This window comes from Homo sapiens, chromosome 6, assembly GCF_000001405.40.
Source record: "Homo sapiens chromosome 6, GRCh38.p14 Primary Assembly".
Lineage (NCBI taxonomy): Eukaryota > Metazoa > Chordata > Mammalia > Primates > Hominidae > Homo > Homo sapiens.
In genome coordinates this window covers 50,037,390-50,051,905 of record NC_000006.12, presented here as the reverse complement: position 1 = coordinate 50,051,905, position 14,516 = coordinate 50,037,390, and the positions used below count along the sequence as shown (strand labels likewise).

Sequence of the window (14,516 nt, the reverse complement as noted above, 5' to 3'; positions counted from 1 at the left end):
CATACTCTATTTCTGTTTTGTGGTGTAGATCCTGTAGAATGTGTTTAATATGTTGGACATTTATAATACAGGATCGATGTTTACCTGTTCAAAAAAAGGAGCAGTTTCCACATTCTCCATGGGATTAGACCTGGGTCACAAAGTCCCCTAAGTGAATCACCTGTAATACTGTCATGTTGCTGTTTGATTTTTCACTCTTTGGATTTAACAAATAAGTATTCAAAATAAAATTTCTAAATGACTTTAGTCCTTGCAGTAAGGCAGCAATATTGCACCCTTGTCATGTCTTTGGAAAGAGCTAAAATTAAAAATCAATGAGACATTTATCTTCTTTGCTCTTCTTTCTTTGTGTTTATTCACAGAAGTTCTGATAACAAAGAAAGCATAATAATATATAAATTATTTCTAATGAAATTTGGGTTTTGGTTTCAGTGCCCAATTAGAACTTTGTCTCATCTACAACAATCAAATGCCCTATCTTTTTCACAGCTGTACCACAGCAACTAGAAAAGTAACAGGCACATGGTAGGTGTTTGATTAATATCTGTTCAATTAATCTTACATAGGGATGGGTTTAAATAATCTTATACTATGTCAAATGATAGTTAAATCCTCTATTCAGTGAACCCCAGTAAGTCCTTAGCTTTTAGTATAAATTCTTAGCTTTTTTTTTTGAGACAGTGTCTCACTCTGTCACCCAGGCTGGAGTACAGCGGCATGATCATGGCTCACTGCAGCCTCGACCTCCCAGGGCTCAGGAGATCTGCCCACCACAGCATCCCAGTGTAGCTGAGACTACAGGCGTGTGTCACCACTCCTGGCTAATATTTGTATTTTTGTAGAGATGGGGTTTCACCGTGTTGCCCAGACTGGTCTTGAACTCTGGAGCTCAAGCGCTCTGTCTGTCTCGGCCCCCAAAAGTGCTGAGACTACAGGCATGAGTCACTGCATCTAGTCAAGTCCTTTACTTTTAATTCATATTTTATCAGTGAAGAATTTGGTTGTAGAAGGGAAAAATTATTGATCATATCTCTTTATCACTTTGCCCAGGAAGCCTTGCCACAATTCTGATTATTTGTACATGTTTCAGTTGCAACACCTTTGTAAATAACATTCTCATAAATGTAAAATAAGGATGACTAATATTAACTGGGGCTTCTTTACACCCAGATTCTTAGTGCTCTTTATGAGTATAGTAAGAGAGATTCAATGGGTCATTATTCCTTATGGGGTCTGGGGAACAATATCAACTCTTTATCGTATATCTGCTATAGTCGACTTTGGAAAACTTACAAATTAACTCAGAAATAACTTCTCACTACATAGAAAATAACAACAAACAAACAGAGAAATGCATTCTAGGTTTATAACATTGAATGTTTTTGCACTGACATTCACAAATCCTACTTGAGGGGACAGACCTTTCTTTGTGGTACAGCTAAGCTCGATAGGATAATATCCATAAACACCAGAATACTGTCATGATTTATGTTCATACATAATTTAAGTAAAGAAGGTATGGATTATAAAATTACCTGACAAATCTGGATCTCAACATTTTTATATGTAAAATTAAATATTCTGTATGATAATTTCAGTCTAAAGTTCTGTGGTTTTGATTTCTTATTACATTGAGATTCATTGTTAATACTGGGGCCATTAAAATAGTGAATGGAATTATATAAAACTAGTACTCCTGGGGTATCAAGTGAATTGCTGCAGGACTATTTCGGATCTTGGTCACTTAGCAATTTATACCCATATTCTTGTAACTGTTAAAGTTTCTTAAAGAAACTGACTGCAAGAGAAATCAGCAGATGTAACTTTTGTGTGACAATGCAGCTTTTTCTAGTCACTATCTCTTTGAATATGGCACTATGCACCAAGCATAGAAATGTTCTCACTCTTAATAAGCTTCAGTAGTCAAAACTATGCAGAAGAATTCTTTAAATGTAAGGGTTTTTTTTTCTTGTTTCAACAACAGCTGAGTCAGACAGATGATCTGTACACTGTTTTATACCAAGAAATCATTTACAATGAAGATCCTTCTCTTTTTCTGTATTTTGCTTTTCTTTGGAGTCCTTATTCCACCAGGTAATATGAATATTATTGCTAGAGGGGTCAAGGGGCCAGCATTAAAGTCGGGGAGCTGGGTTATTTAAAGTAGAATTGACATTATAAAACATTTTATTAATACCATCATCATGTTACATTACATTTATTCACAGTTCTCAGGTAAAAATATTTGAATAATTTTTCAAGCACAGCATCCTAGAAAAGGCTGTAATTCACCTTAATTACATGAAAATATACATTCATATATATGCATATATGTAAATGATTAGAAGAAAATAATGCTACGTTGATTTCACAGATCCATGAAATGTGTATTTATTCAACACTCAAATTTAACTGAATTTGATCTATTAATAGATTAGAAAAAACTGGGAAAGTTATGAATTATGCTTGGAAATCATTGATCCCCACAGTGATATTTATAGCAGAGGTTAATCAGATAAAATGTCTTGCTAAAAGTTTCAGATTGTATTTTATTAACAATTGAGACAAGCTGCACTTGTCTACTGCTCACTTCCAGTTAAATTCTCCTTTTTCTTTATCTTGCTGCTTTCTCTGATTATCAAGATATCTTTCAGTATTGAGATCAGAGGAGGTAACCTTAAAATAAATCTGTAGTAACTCATTATTTTACTGTTATTCTGCCCTAACATTTAAACATAAATAGCTTTTTAGCTAATAATTTCTCACCAAAAGGGGACAAGGAGGTGAACTTCAGTTAATAATGTAAACCAACAAGGGAGTTAATTTAAATCAGATAATAATTTTTCTTCTTTATAAAAATTAATTAAAGTGTGCTCATTAGAATTCTCTCTATATTTAGAACTTTTCTGAGGTACAAAGAATTATACAGATTTCAATAAACACTGATAGGTTTTCTTCATAATAATGATTTTAATAGCTAGCATTTGTTCAGCCTTTTGCCTGTATTAATTTATTTTTCCTAACAATAGCCATGCAAGGTGAACTTATTAATAGCCAAGTCATTTATTCATTTAACTGGATTTTTAAACATATGTACTATATGTTTATCATTTTGTAAAACCTTTTATAATATATAGGACCATTAAATAGAGGCAACTACATTTGTGTCCTTATTTCTGAAAATATTTTTCCTCCTACTTTTAAAGTAATTTTTTCACTTTACAGTGAGCTCTTAACAACCTCTTAGCACTCTTATGAAATTATTGACAACCATATGTAGACTGAAACTTGAAAAAATGTACTCAAAGACAAATACATCTTCCACAATATTTGAAAAGGCCCGACATGGGACAGAGAAAATCAGCACAGGTAAAACAAAATAAGTAGAATTGTGTCTTGCACATTTTAATCAATACTTTTTGACTGAAATGAAGTAAATATTCTGAGTATATTCTCTACCTCAGTCCCTGTTTACTTATATGTTCTTGTCTTTCACCTCATAGCTTTATGAAGACTGAATTTCATGTTTAAAACAAGAAAGAAATCTTATTTTAAGGTTGTAGAGGCCGATTTTTTTGATAAAATGCTGGCTAGACAAATGTCCTTTTATCATTTCCATGAAGAAAGGTTTTCTAACCATTGTTCTCAGCAACATTATTACTTTTTAAAATGTTTTAATGTAATTGTGCTTAGGAATTATACTGTTGTCTCAGTTTCCCTCCTACTCAACAGCTGGACATATTTATTTTTTTTTTTTTGAGACGGAGTTTCACTCTTGTTGCCCAGGCTGGAGTGCAATGACACTATCTTGGATCACTGCAACCACCGTCTCCCGGGTTCAAGCAATTCTCCTGCTTCAGCCTCCGGAGTAGCTGGGATTACAGGCTCCCACCACCACGCCCCGCTAATTTTTTGTATTTTTAGTAGAGACAGGGTTTCACCATGTTGGCTAGGCTGGTAGCGAACTCCTGACCTGAGGTGATCTACCTGCCACGGCCTCCCAAAATGCTGGGATTACAGGTGTGAGCCACCACGCCTGGCCAAGGCAAAACTATTTTTATCAATCACTACTGTTCAAAATACTGATATTTTTGGATATAAAAAGTATATTGTTATATGAAAAGAATGATAAAGGTGTTCTGTTTATTTGAAAGCACGGTTTAATTAAGATAACTCAAAAAGGCAATTGAGCAACAAAAGTCTAGATAAGGGACTGGGAACTTAGTTTTAAAAGAATTCTTTTTGACTAAGTTTCACTGGATGTCAGCATGATGTTGGAATGGGACTTTTCAATGCTCCTTCCTTTACAGAATCACTAATTTGAACAATTATCCATGCACGAAAATGCCTTCACAAGAGCTAAGGAAACCAGGTGAGAGATTACAGCACTTGGGTAGATTACAGAAATAAGAAAAGACACATTAAAGAGGGTAGGAAAGATAGTGTCACATTGCTCATGGACCTCTCTCCCAAGCCTAGATAGCACAGCCTGGAGACAGATACCCTCCCTGTGAAGGAAAGAGAGGGAAATGACCATAGAAATTAGCCTTGGACCCAACACTGGATGCCCTTTCTAAGTAGAACCCAGCACCGAGCAGGCCCCCATGGCCTCAGACTTCAGACCAGTACCTGAAGACTGAGCTTCCAAGTCTGCTCTGGCACCAGGCCGGATCTGACAGCCTCTGGCTCTAGGCCAGCCCATCAAGTCTCAGCTCACTGCCCCTCCAGGCCTGCCCAGTAGCCCTAGTGCTAGTTCAAGCCCCACAGACTCAGGCTAGGCCCAATAATCACACTCGGTTTCCAGAGTTTCTCTAGAGCTAGGCTGGCCCCAGTGTTCCTGGGCTCTGGATCCCCCCAACACCAAGCTGACCCCCAGGTTTCAGGCTTGTCCAAGAACAAGGTGAGCTCCACAGCCATAGTCATCAGGGAAGGACCTGTGGACTCAGCCCCGAGGCCAGCCTCGGTGGATACAGGCTCCAGGTTCACTCAGTACCTGGCCAGCTCATGTAACCCTAGGCTCACCTTTATTCCAAACCTATGTTTTAGGACCCATAGCCTTTAAAGGTTCTTCCCTCTTGTCCATTACACCACTTTACCAATCACTTCAATGGCAAAATTTCCTTCAGTTCTTGTATATCAGCTTAGTAGAGTCATAGAGTAGAATACAAACATTGCTACATATATAACTAGCAAAGGGCTTAAATCTAGAATATATTTTAAAATTCTAATAAATAAATAAGAAAATGCTAGGTAATTCAGCAGAAATATGAAAAAAAGACCTAAGCCACTTGAAAGAGTGAATAAACAACCTCTTTAAAGTGCTCATCCTCACTTGCAATCAAGAAAATGCTAATTTAAACCACGATAAACTACCACCATACATTCAACAGAACATTCAAAATTTGAAATCTATCCAACAGAAGATTATTCAATATGCTTCAAGAAACAGTACAAGAATGTTAAGAGCAGCCAAATTCTCCCTGTAGCAAATAACCTATATGATCATATAAAGTTTATTAGATAAAGTGAATGCTATGTATTAATGAAAATCAGTACTGCAAACTACATCCAACCACAAAGTTCAATTTTATGAATATAAATTTAAAAATCCAGAAACAAACAAACTGTATGATTCTCTCTAAGATACACACACACACACACACACACACACACACACACACACAGTGCTCCTCAATTCATGATGGAATTATGTCTTGATAAAGACATTTTGAGTTGAAAATATCATCAATTGAAAGTGGATTTAATACACCCTACTGGCAGAACATCATAGCTTAGCTTACCCTGGCTTAAACATGCTCAGAATACTTACATTAGCCTACAATTGGGCAAAATCATCTAACATAAAGAGTGTTTTATAATAAATTATTGAATATATCATGGAATGTGTTTGATAATGTACTAAAAGCATAAAACAGAATTGTTGTATGACTATTTGTAATATTGTATCCACTGAACGTATGTCTTTTTTGCACCATTCTGAGGATGAAAAATTGAGTCAAATTATTGTAATTCGGGGACTATCAGTATAAACAGTCATGTGCTGCAAAACAGTGTTTCAGTCTATGTTTAGATACATAAATACTTACCATTATGTTACAGTTGCCTAAAGTATTCAGTCCAGTAACAGGTGCCATTTTGTAGATCAGGAGTAATAGGCTATACCTTACAGCCTAGGTATGTGATAGGTTGTACCATCTAGATTTGTGTAAGTACAGTTTATGGTGTTCGCACAAGGACAGAATCACCTAATGGCACATTTCTCAAAACATATCCCTGTCCCTAAGTGACACCTGATTGTATACACATATGTACACATTTATTTGTATGTGTGTATATATATATTTGTGTGTATATCTAGATTTATACATATTTTATGTGTATACATGTTCAAAAGCAGGCATAAAAAATGCATAATTGAGGTATACAAATATTAATATAAAGCAAAGTAAGAAAGTTAGTGTTTAATTCAAGACAGTGATTACTCTTAGGGAAGAGGGAGGGGGTTATGATGTGGCATGAGGGTGTGAAGCTTCTAGTAATATCTTGTTTCTTGATGTAGGTAGTAATCTCATGGCTATTTCATTTACAGTGCTACATTAGGCTCTGCATTTATATTTTGTGTTCTTCTCTCAGAAGGAAATACCCCTTGTGATATGTTGCTTTGTGAACAGAACTATGCTGAGGCTAATCCAATTATGAAATGTACCTTTCATATCTCAGGGTAAATATGGGCTTGAAATATTATTATTACCATTATTCATATTACTATTACTATTTGCAAATAAAATACAATTATTAGCAAAGATAACTGCATAAAGTGCTGTCTCCTAGATGACTGAGTACACATCACTGCAAATCCAGAGTATGTTAAAAGGAATATCCTCTGATAGTGTAGTCTCAAAATCCTCAGTTATTTTAAATTCTTGCTGCAAAATTTGTGGGTAATATTACTACTTTATATAAAATGATATATATGTATTTTATTTAAAAAGATGGACACGAAAATGGTTAATTACAGAATAAAAAGGTTTTTGAGATGAAAGCATACTTACAGACATCAGTGATAAGGACTTGGTCATTTTTATCCACCTTCTGAAATATGTCCAGCAATGCATGCTTATATTAGTCGAGTAATGGTAGATATGTACTTCCTAAGACAGTCTCCTCCAGAATTTTTATTAAACTTTTTAATTAATTTAAAAATTATTATATAGATTCAAAACCTGGCTCTCCAGTGATATGTGCTATGTATCTGTGGAGATACAGAGAATAAATGAATATCTGCAACTACAGATCAGAACTTCTGTTAGTGACAGAGAGACCTTCTATCTAGGTACATACATCATTCCTTATACTTGTGGAAGTTACAAAGTCGAAGAAATTATGCTGTAAAGTGAGATTAGAGACATTTTTAAAAATTTTCTATAGCATTGGAAACTTCAGGATGAAAGAGAAAAATGGCAAAGTAGAACTAGAAAATTATGAGCCTTGCTGAAATGTTCACTATGTCCACAGCTTGTGGTTATTTACTATCTCCGTATTCTAATCACCCCAAAGTGTCTATTTTTTTAGCAAAACTTCTCTTGTGCTTGGCTCTAGGGTGCAAATCCAAGAGGAGATGAGATATTTAAGGAAAATAAAATTGTATCTTTCAATATTTTAGAACTGCTCAAGTCAGGTTAAAAAGAACAATGGAATCTTAAAAAGGAAGAGAACATTTACCACAGAACAGTACTAAGAATAAATAATAAATGAGAGGATGGAGATCGTCCCACTCATATCCAATGGTTCTAGTCAATGTACAAGACAGACAGAGGAAGATTAATACATTGCAAGCCCTTCAGAAATCCCTTATTGAGTCACTACAGAATTATTTAAACTGCATAAGAATGGAACCTCTACAGTTTAGGAACTGTATACTTGTTGGTTTCCTTGATTTTCTCTGATATGGACAAAAAAATTAAAGCAAATATCCATTTCCTTTATTTCTCCTCTGTTGTCTGTGATTACTCCCATGTCTTCTTTTAAATCTTGGGAGTTCCCACCTAGATTACTAATTCCAGCTGTTCTTGCCTTCTTTCAGCCAGAAGTGAAGGGCACCATATCACCTTTAGTAGGTGGAAGTCATGTACAGCGATTGGAGGTCGATGTAAAAATCAATGTGATGATAGTGAATTTAGGATTTCATACTGTGCAAGACCTACAACTCATTGCTGCGTGACAGAATGTGACCCTACGGACCCAAATAATTGGATCCCAAAGGACTCAGTAGGGACTCAAGAATGGTACCCTAAAGACTCACGTCATTGAAGAAATCCATGCACAAGAAGATGATACATCTGAATGAAGTCCTCTCATTATTTCATCACTTCATTAATGACCTATAATTTCCATGCATGCATACCTATAATGAATAAATAATTAAATAAAATATATTTCAGCTGGACATTTTTATAAACATTGTGCTTGCTTAGAAGAAAGAATCAGAATACAAAGCAGGGATTTGAACTCTGGAATAGAAGCAGCGTGGAGAAGAAAATCCATGATGGGACCGCTAAGTTTAGTGAGATTCTGGGGCCAATTCCTTATTTAGTGTGAAAAGCATATTATGAGTCATTAGTGAGGTATTATCAAGAATTCTTTGAGGAGACTCAGGAGTGGGGACAGAGTTGATAAGAGATGTGACCCCTGAACTAGTAAAAATCGTTGCAAGAAATTTGAAGGATTATGAAATCCTCATAACTTTCTCATATTGCTTATACTTCCTGGTTATACTTTTTCTCTCTTTTTTGAAAGAATTATGAAAATAAAAATAACTGATTTTTTTTCCAAGAATAATCTCAAAAGGTAGAATAGAGGGAGACTAGGTTGAGGAAGGAAAAGAAGAATGGTAAATCCCTGTAGCTTGTGGCAATAACGATAATGTGAAATTATGATTAACTTTTTTGTTTTGTTTTGCTTTGTTTCATGTTTTTAATGTTTCCACATATTATCAGATGATTCTTATCATGCTACTTATTGGTGTCTTAGTAAATTTTAAGTTTTTAAAAAATAATGTAACAGAATTATATATGTGTGTATGCATGCTCACACATATAATTTCTATTATAGAAATTTTTGTCATACCCAGGATTTATGTGGCAAGGATGTGTTAACAAAGGCTAAATTGTGGCCTTGAGGGAAAGGGTCAGCAGTTGGTCTTAATACCTCACCTAGATTAAAGATTTTCCCCTTATTCAAACATTTTGAAATATCAACTCTAAAAATAGGTGATGGTTTTGCAGGGCTTGGTATGTGCTAAGTATTACTTAAAGAATGTCCTCTAGGCTTTGTCCTTGGCTGGCAGCCTTGGTTATTATGTGACTTACAACCTGTGGACTAAGGCCACATGAAGAAAAGGGAGCTAGTCACTTAAAATTATGTGGTAACAAGGTATTTAAGTTGAGGCTACTTGTACCTGGTAGGTTTCTTATGCTGCTGTGACATATACACATTTCAGCTTTGGGTTAATCTTATAACCAAAACATATCCTGTACACAGTACCTGGGCACATAGGGAAAAGCATCTGGGTGTCCAAATTATATATGATATTCCTGATATGTATAATACTATGCTCTCTGACCAGTGTCAATTTGGAGCTAAATAACCCTATTTGCATCTTGTGATTTTGGTTTATGATCCAAACTCTGAACCCCACTTCAGGGGTCTCACAGTATACCTATACTATAATTTAATGTATCTGTGGTAGGATAGATGAAAATTATGAATAAAGCTGCTATAATTGTATTAATGTGTGCATTCATTATTAATGGTTATATACCTAGGAGTAGAGAAGTTTCAACATAAACTGTTTATATTATTATCTTTTAGAGATATTGACAGCAAAAAATGATTAGGGCAATTTAAGTTCCCATAAGCAGTGTACCACAGTTCCAGCTGGTCCACATTTTTTCCAATTTTAGCCCTTCTGTTGTGTGTGTAAATTCATATCATCTTGGTCTTTTGGTCTTATTTCCTTTTTCCTCTCCATTAATGATGTTGATAACTTTTCCATAATTGATGTTGATACTGGCCATTAGAGATGCTCTTTTGTGAATTTGTATTTGAGTCTTGGCGACATTCTTTTTTTTTTTTTTAGTGGTTGTACCTCTTTATCCTGTTGATTTGTAGGAGTTATAAAACATTAAGTCATGATAAAAATATCAGTAAAATGAGGACAGAGGAATCACTTTAAACTGATAATGTTTTACCTATACCAAAAGCCACATCAAATGCCATATTTTACAGTGGATTATTGAACACTTTCACCCAAGTTCAGAAATAAACAAAGAATGTTAATTTATCAATACTTCCATACAACATTATACTAGAGGATTGCACCAGTGCTGTAAGTTAAGAATAGGACAAATAGTATAAGCAGTGGAAAGGAGGAAATATAGCTGTCATTATTCACATGTAACATGATTAGATATCTACTTTTTTAATATCTAGAAACTAATAGAATTAATACATCAATTCAGCAAAGTCACTAAATAAAGTCAATACAAAAAGTAAATTATATTTCTAGGCACTAGAATCAAATTGAAAACAAAATTTTAAAATGACACATTTTAGATTATTAGATATTTAAAAATAATTCCAACAAAAATGGCATCTCAAGCTACAAAATATTGTGGATAGAAATTACAGACATAAATAATTAAAGGGATATTATCTAAAACAGCCCATATTCAAATCGTCCTAATTTTTCACTAATGTCCTTTATAGTTGTGAGGCTTTTACTCTACAGAAAGTGAGGGGAGGAAAAAAAAAAGCAAAGGGAAATATAATTGTTGGCCACTTTCTTTGTTTCCTGTAAACATTTTTTCCAAACTCTGAGTATCAGTTGCCAGAACTTCTGAAATGTGAATTTAAGATCAGCAGTGAGTACTAGAACTTTGTAATTAGAGAGAGACAGCACACAGCTTGTGGCTCCAAGGAAAAGGAAGTGATGGAGAACTTTGGTGAGAGTTTGTTACCTTATCCATGAACTGAGATCCATGTGGGCGGATGGGAGATTTGATGTCATGTGGCTCTGCTAGATTTAAGGTAAAGGTAACAGATGATAAATTAGCTTTTTCCACTTCAAGCTAGCTTTTTCTGTCTCACAAGCCAGCTGAGTCTTGTAAGCAAAAATAAAAGTTATTGTGGAAGTTCTTCATCTTTATAAAAATATATCTATCTACACTTTTTTTCCGGTGATCTTTCTGTTATGGAATTGCTAGATTTATCTTGCTATTCTTTTCTAAAAAGTCTGCCATGCACTTTTATTGAAATAAAGAATAAAGATTTTTAATGGATAAAGTAAAAAAATAATTTGTATGACAAATAAATAGAATTCCTTCATTGGTCTAAAGGGAATTCTATTCTCTACTTGACCAGCAAAGATAATATACACAATATTTTTACCATTTTTATTACACAGGATAATGAGGTTTTGATAGGTTCAAAATAATTAGATTCCATATTCTTAATTGACTAGATCATTTCTTTAACCTATAGCTAGTGAAGAGAATCCAGTTTGTTTGGTATCAAACATAGAGATGAAAAAAATAGGATAAGAAGTTTAAAAGTAAGAGAAAAAAGACTTTTTCAACCTGAAATTTGACATAAGACAATTTCTAAATCTCCAATAGTTTCAAATTTAATAACTATCTTCTGCTTAAATTTGAATGATATTACTTTGCATTGCTTTTTCTTATAATATGCTTTTCCAAGAAACCATTCGGCTTGATTAAGAAGATAGCATTAGGAGAAATACCTAATGTAAATGACGGGTTGATGGGTGCAGCAAACCACCATAGCACATGTATACATATGTAACAAATCTGCATGTTCTGCACATGTACCCCAGGACTTAAAGTATAATAAAATAAATGAAAAACATTCCAGTTAAGCGATCTGGCTTTGGAGTTAGATGGACAGGGATTAAAATTCCAACACTGTCACATTTCCTTCAAATTTACAGAAGTTACTTATTTTTGTGAAACATTTCTTTTTATTTTTATAAATTAAAAACATTTTTAATGAGCTCTGAAGGCTAATTGAAATAATGTACAAAAACCGAAATTGCTACCTGGAAATTTTTTAACATTCACTGAAATTGTAAGTAATCTTTGCTGGACTTCACATTTTGGCCAATTAACAAGTGCCAGATCACGATCACATAATGGGGGAAACCTCCCAAATGATTCAATTGTCTCCCACCAGGTCCCTCTCACAACACGTAGGAATTATGGCAGCTACAATTCAAGGGGAGATTTGGGTGGGGACACAGCCAAACCATATCATGTAGGTAGGACTTATCACCTATGTAATAATACCTTAAACATTTTTCAATCTGAATTCATCCATTAGGGAAAAAAATCAGACAAATACAAAAGGAAAGATGTTCTGAAATACTGGCCTGGAATCTTCAAAACTGTTAACACAATGAATGACAATGAAAGTCTGGGAAGAGGAACTATTCTAGATTAATGGAAAATAAGGAGACATGACAACTATATAACAGGTAATCCTTACTGAGTGCTCATTCAGATAAACTAAAACATTATAAAGACCACTGTGAAAATTTGAACACAGACTGCACGTTAAAAATATGTATCTTATAAAAAATAAATTACTTGAATGGGAAAATTTTATTGGAGTTATGTGAGTATCTATGTTCTTAGGAGATACATGCTAAACTATTTACAATAGATGTGATAAGTGTTATGATGTCTGTGACTAACTCTTGAATTATTTAGCAAATAAAAATATAAATGTATTTTATAAGTGCATAAACATATACGTGTGTGTATATACAAATACATATATAGAGAGATGCATATAGATGGGAGTTAGTGAATTTAAAATGTGCAAAAAGTGAGCAATTGGTGAGTTTAGGTGAAGGGAATATAGGAGGTAATCATAACATTTAGTGACTTTTCTGTGAGTTATAATTTTTAAAATAAAATGTTAAAAATTGAGTAAGAAAATAATAAATTAAGCAATCTCCATATATTTGAAAAAGAAAAATTATAATAAAACTTAAAATTGCTTAAAAATTTATTTGCTATATATCAATATTGTAGCAAAAAATTGTTTAGGGAAAAATGCATGGCTTTAAATGAGTATACAAGGAAGAAAGAAAAGGTAAAAAGTAATGAGCTAAATGTTTTAGTTAAGACCTTGGAAAAGGACCAGAACATGGTCAAAGGAATGAGGAGGAATGAAATAGTAAAAATAAGAGGAAAAAAATACTAATGGAACAGAAAAAAAGAACCAAAAAAGACAATACTAAGTAAAAAGAACAAAGCTGGAGACATCATGCCACATGACTTTAAACTATACTACAAGGCTACAGTAACCAAAACACCATTGTACTGGTACCAAAACAGACACATAGAACAATGGAACAGAACAGAGGCCTCAGAAATAACGCCACATATCTGCAACCATCTGATGTTTGACAAACCTGACAAAAACAAGCAATGGGGAAAGGATTCCCTACCTAATAAGTGGTGTTGGGAAAACTGGCTAGCCATATGCAGAAAACTGAAACTGGATCCCTTCCTTACACCTTATACAAAAATTAACTCAAGATGGATTAAAGACTTAAACATAAGACCTAAAACCATAAAAAACCCGAGAAGGAAACCTAGACAGTACCATGCCCATAGGCATGGGCAAAGACTTCATGACTAAAACACCAAAAGCAATGACAACAGAAGCCAAAATTGACAAATGGGATCTAATTAAACTAAAGAGCTTATGCACAGCAAAAGAAACTATCATCAGAGTGAACAGGCAAACTACAGAATGGGAGAAAATTTTTGCAATCTATCCATCTGACAAAGGGCTAATATTCAGAATCTACAAGGAACTTAATCAAGTTACTAGAAAAAAACTAACAACCTCATCAAAAAGTGGGCGAAGGATATGAACAGACACTTCTCAAAAGAAGACATTTATGCGACCAACAAACATATGAAAAAAAGCTCATTATCACTGGTCAAAACCACAATGAGATACCATCTTACACCAGTTAGAATGGTGATCATTAAAAAGTCAGAAAACAACAGATGCTGGAGAGGATGTGGAGAAACAGGAATGCTTTTACACTGTTGATGGGAGTGTAAATTAGTTCAACCATTGTTGAAGACAGTGTGGAGATTCCTCAAGGATCTAGAACCAGAAATACCATTCGACCTAGCAATCCCATTACTGGGTATATATCCAAAGGATTGTAAATTATTCTACTATAAAGACACATGAACACATATGTTTATTGCAGTACTGTTAACAATAGCAAAGACTTGGAACCAACTCAAATGCCCACCAGTGATAGACTGGATAAAGAAAATGTGGCACATAAATACCATGGAATAATATGCAGCCATAAAAAAGGATGAGTTCATGTCTTTTGCGGGGACTTGGATGAAGCTGGACTCCATCATTCTCAGCAAACTAACACA

General features: G+C 34.3%; 1 protein-coding gene across 1 annotated transcript; it reads left to right on the top strand.

Moving 5' to 3' along the window:
* The first annotated feature begins 1,976 nt into the window (after window positions 1-1,976).
* DEFB112 (defensin beta 112) lies at window positions 1,977-9,807 on the top strand. The gene is made up of 2 exons (NM_001369057.2): window positions 1,977-2,094; window positions 8,105-9,807. Exons 1-2 carry the CDS (start codon window positions 2,037-2,039, stop codon window positions 8,329-8,331), a joined length of 285 nt encoding a protein of 94 aa, NP_001355986.1. The 5' UTR covers window positions 1,977-2,036; the 3' UTR covers window positions 8,332-9,807.
* Window positions 9,808-14,516: the final 4,709 nt, after the last annotated feature.

What these genes read in the sequence shown, in the direction of transcription:
- DEFB112 (NM_001369057.2), top strand. Translation starts at nt 2,037, where the DNA reads ATGAAGATCCTTCTCTTTTTCTGTATTTTGCTTTTCTTTGGAGTCCTT. An exon ending in TGGAGTCCTTATTCCACCAG is followed by an intron (nt 2,095 to 8,104) that starts GTAATATGAATA and finishes GCCTTCTTTCAG; the next exon opens with CCAGAAGTGAAGGGCACCAT.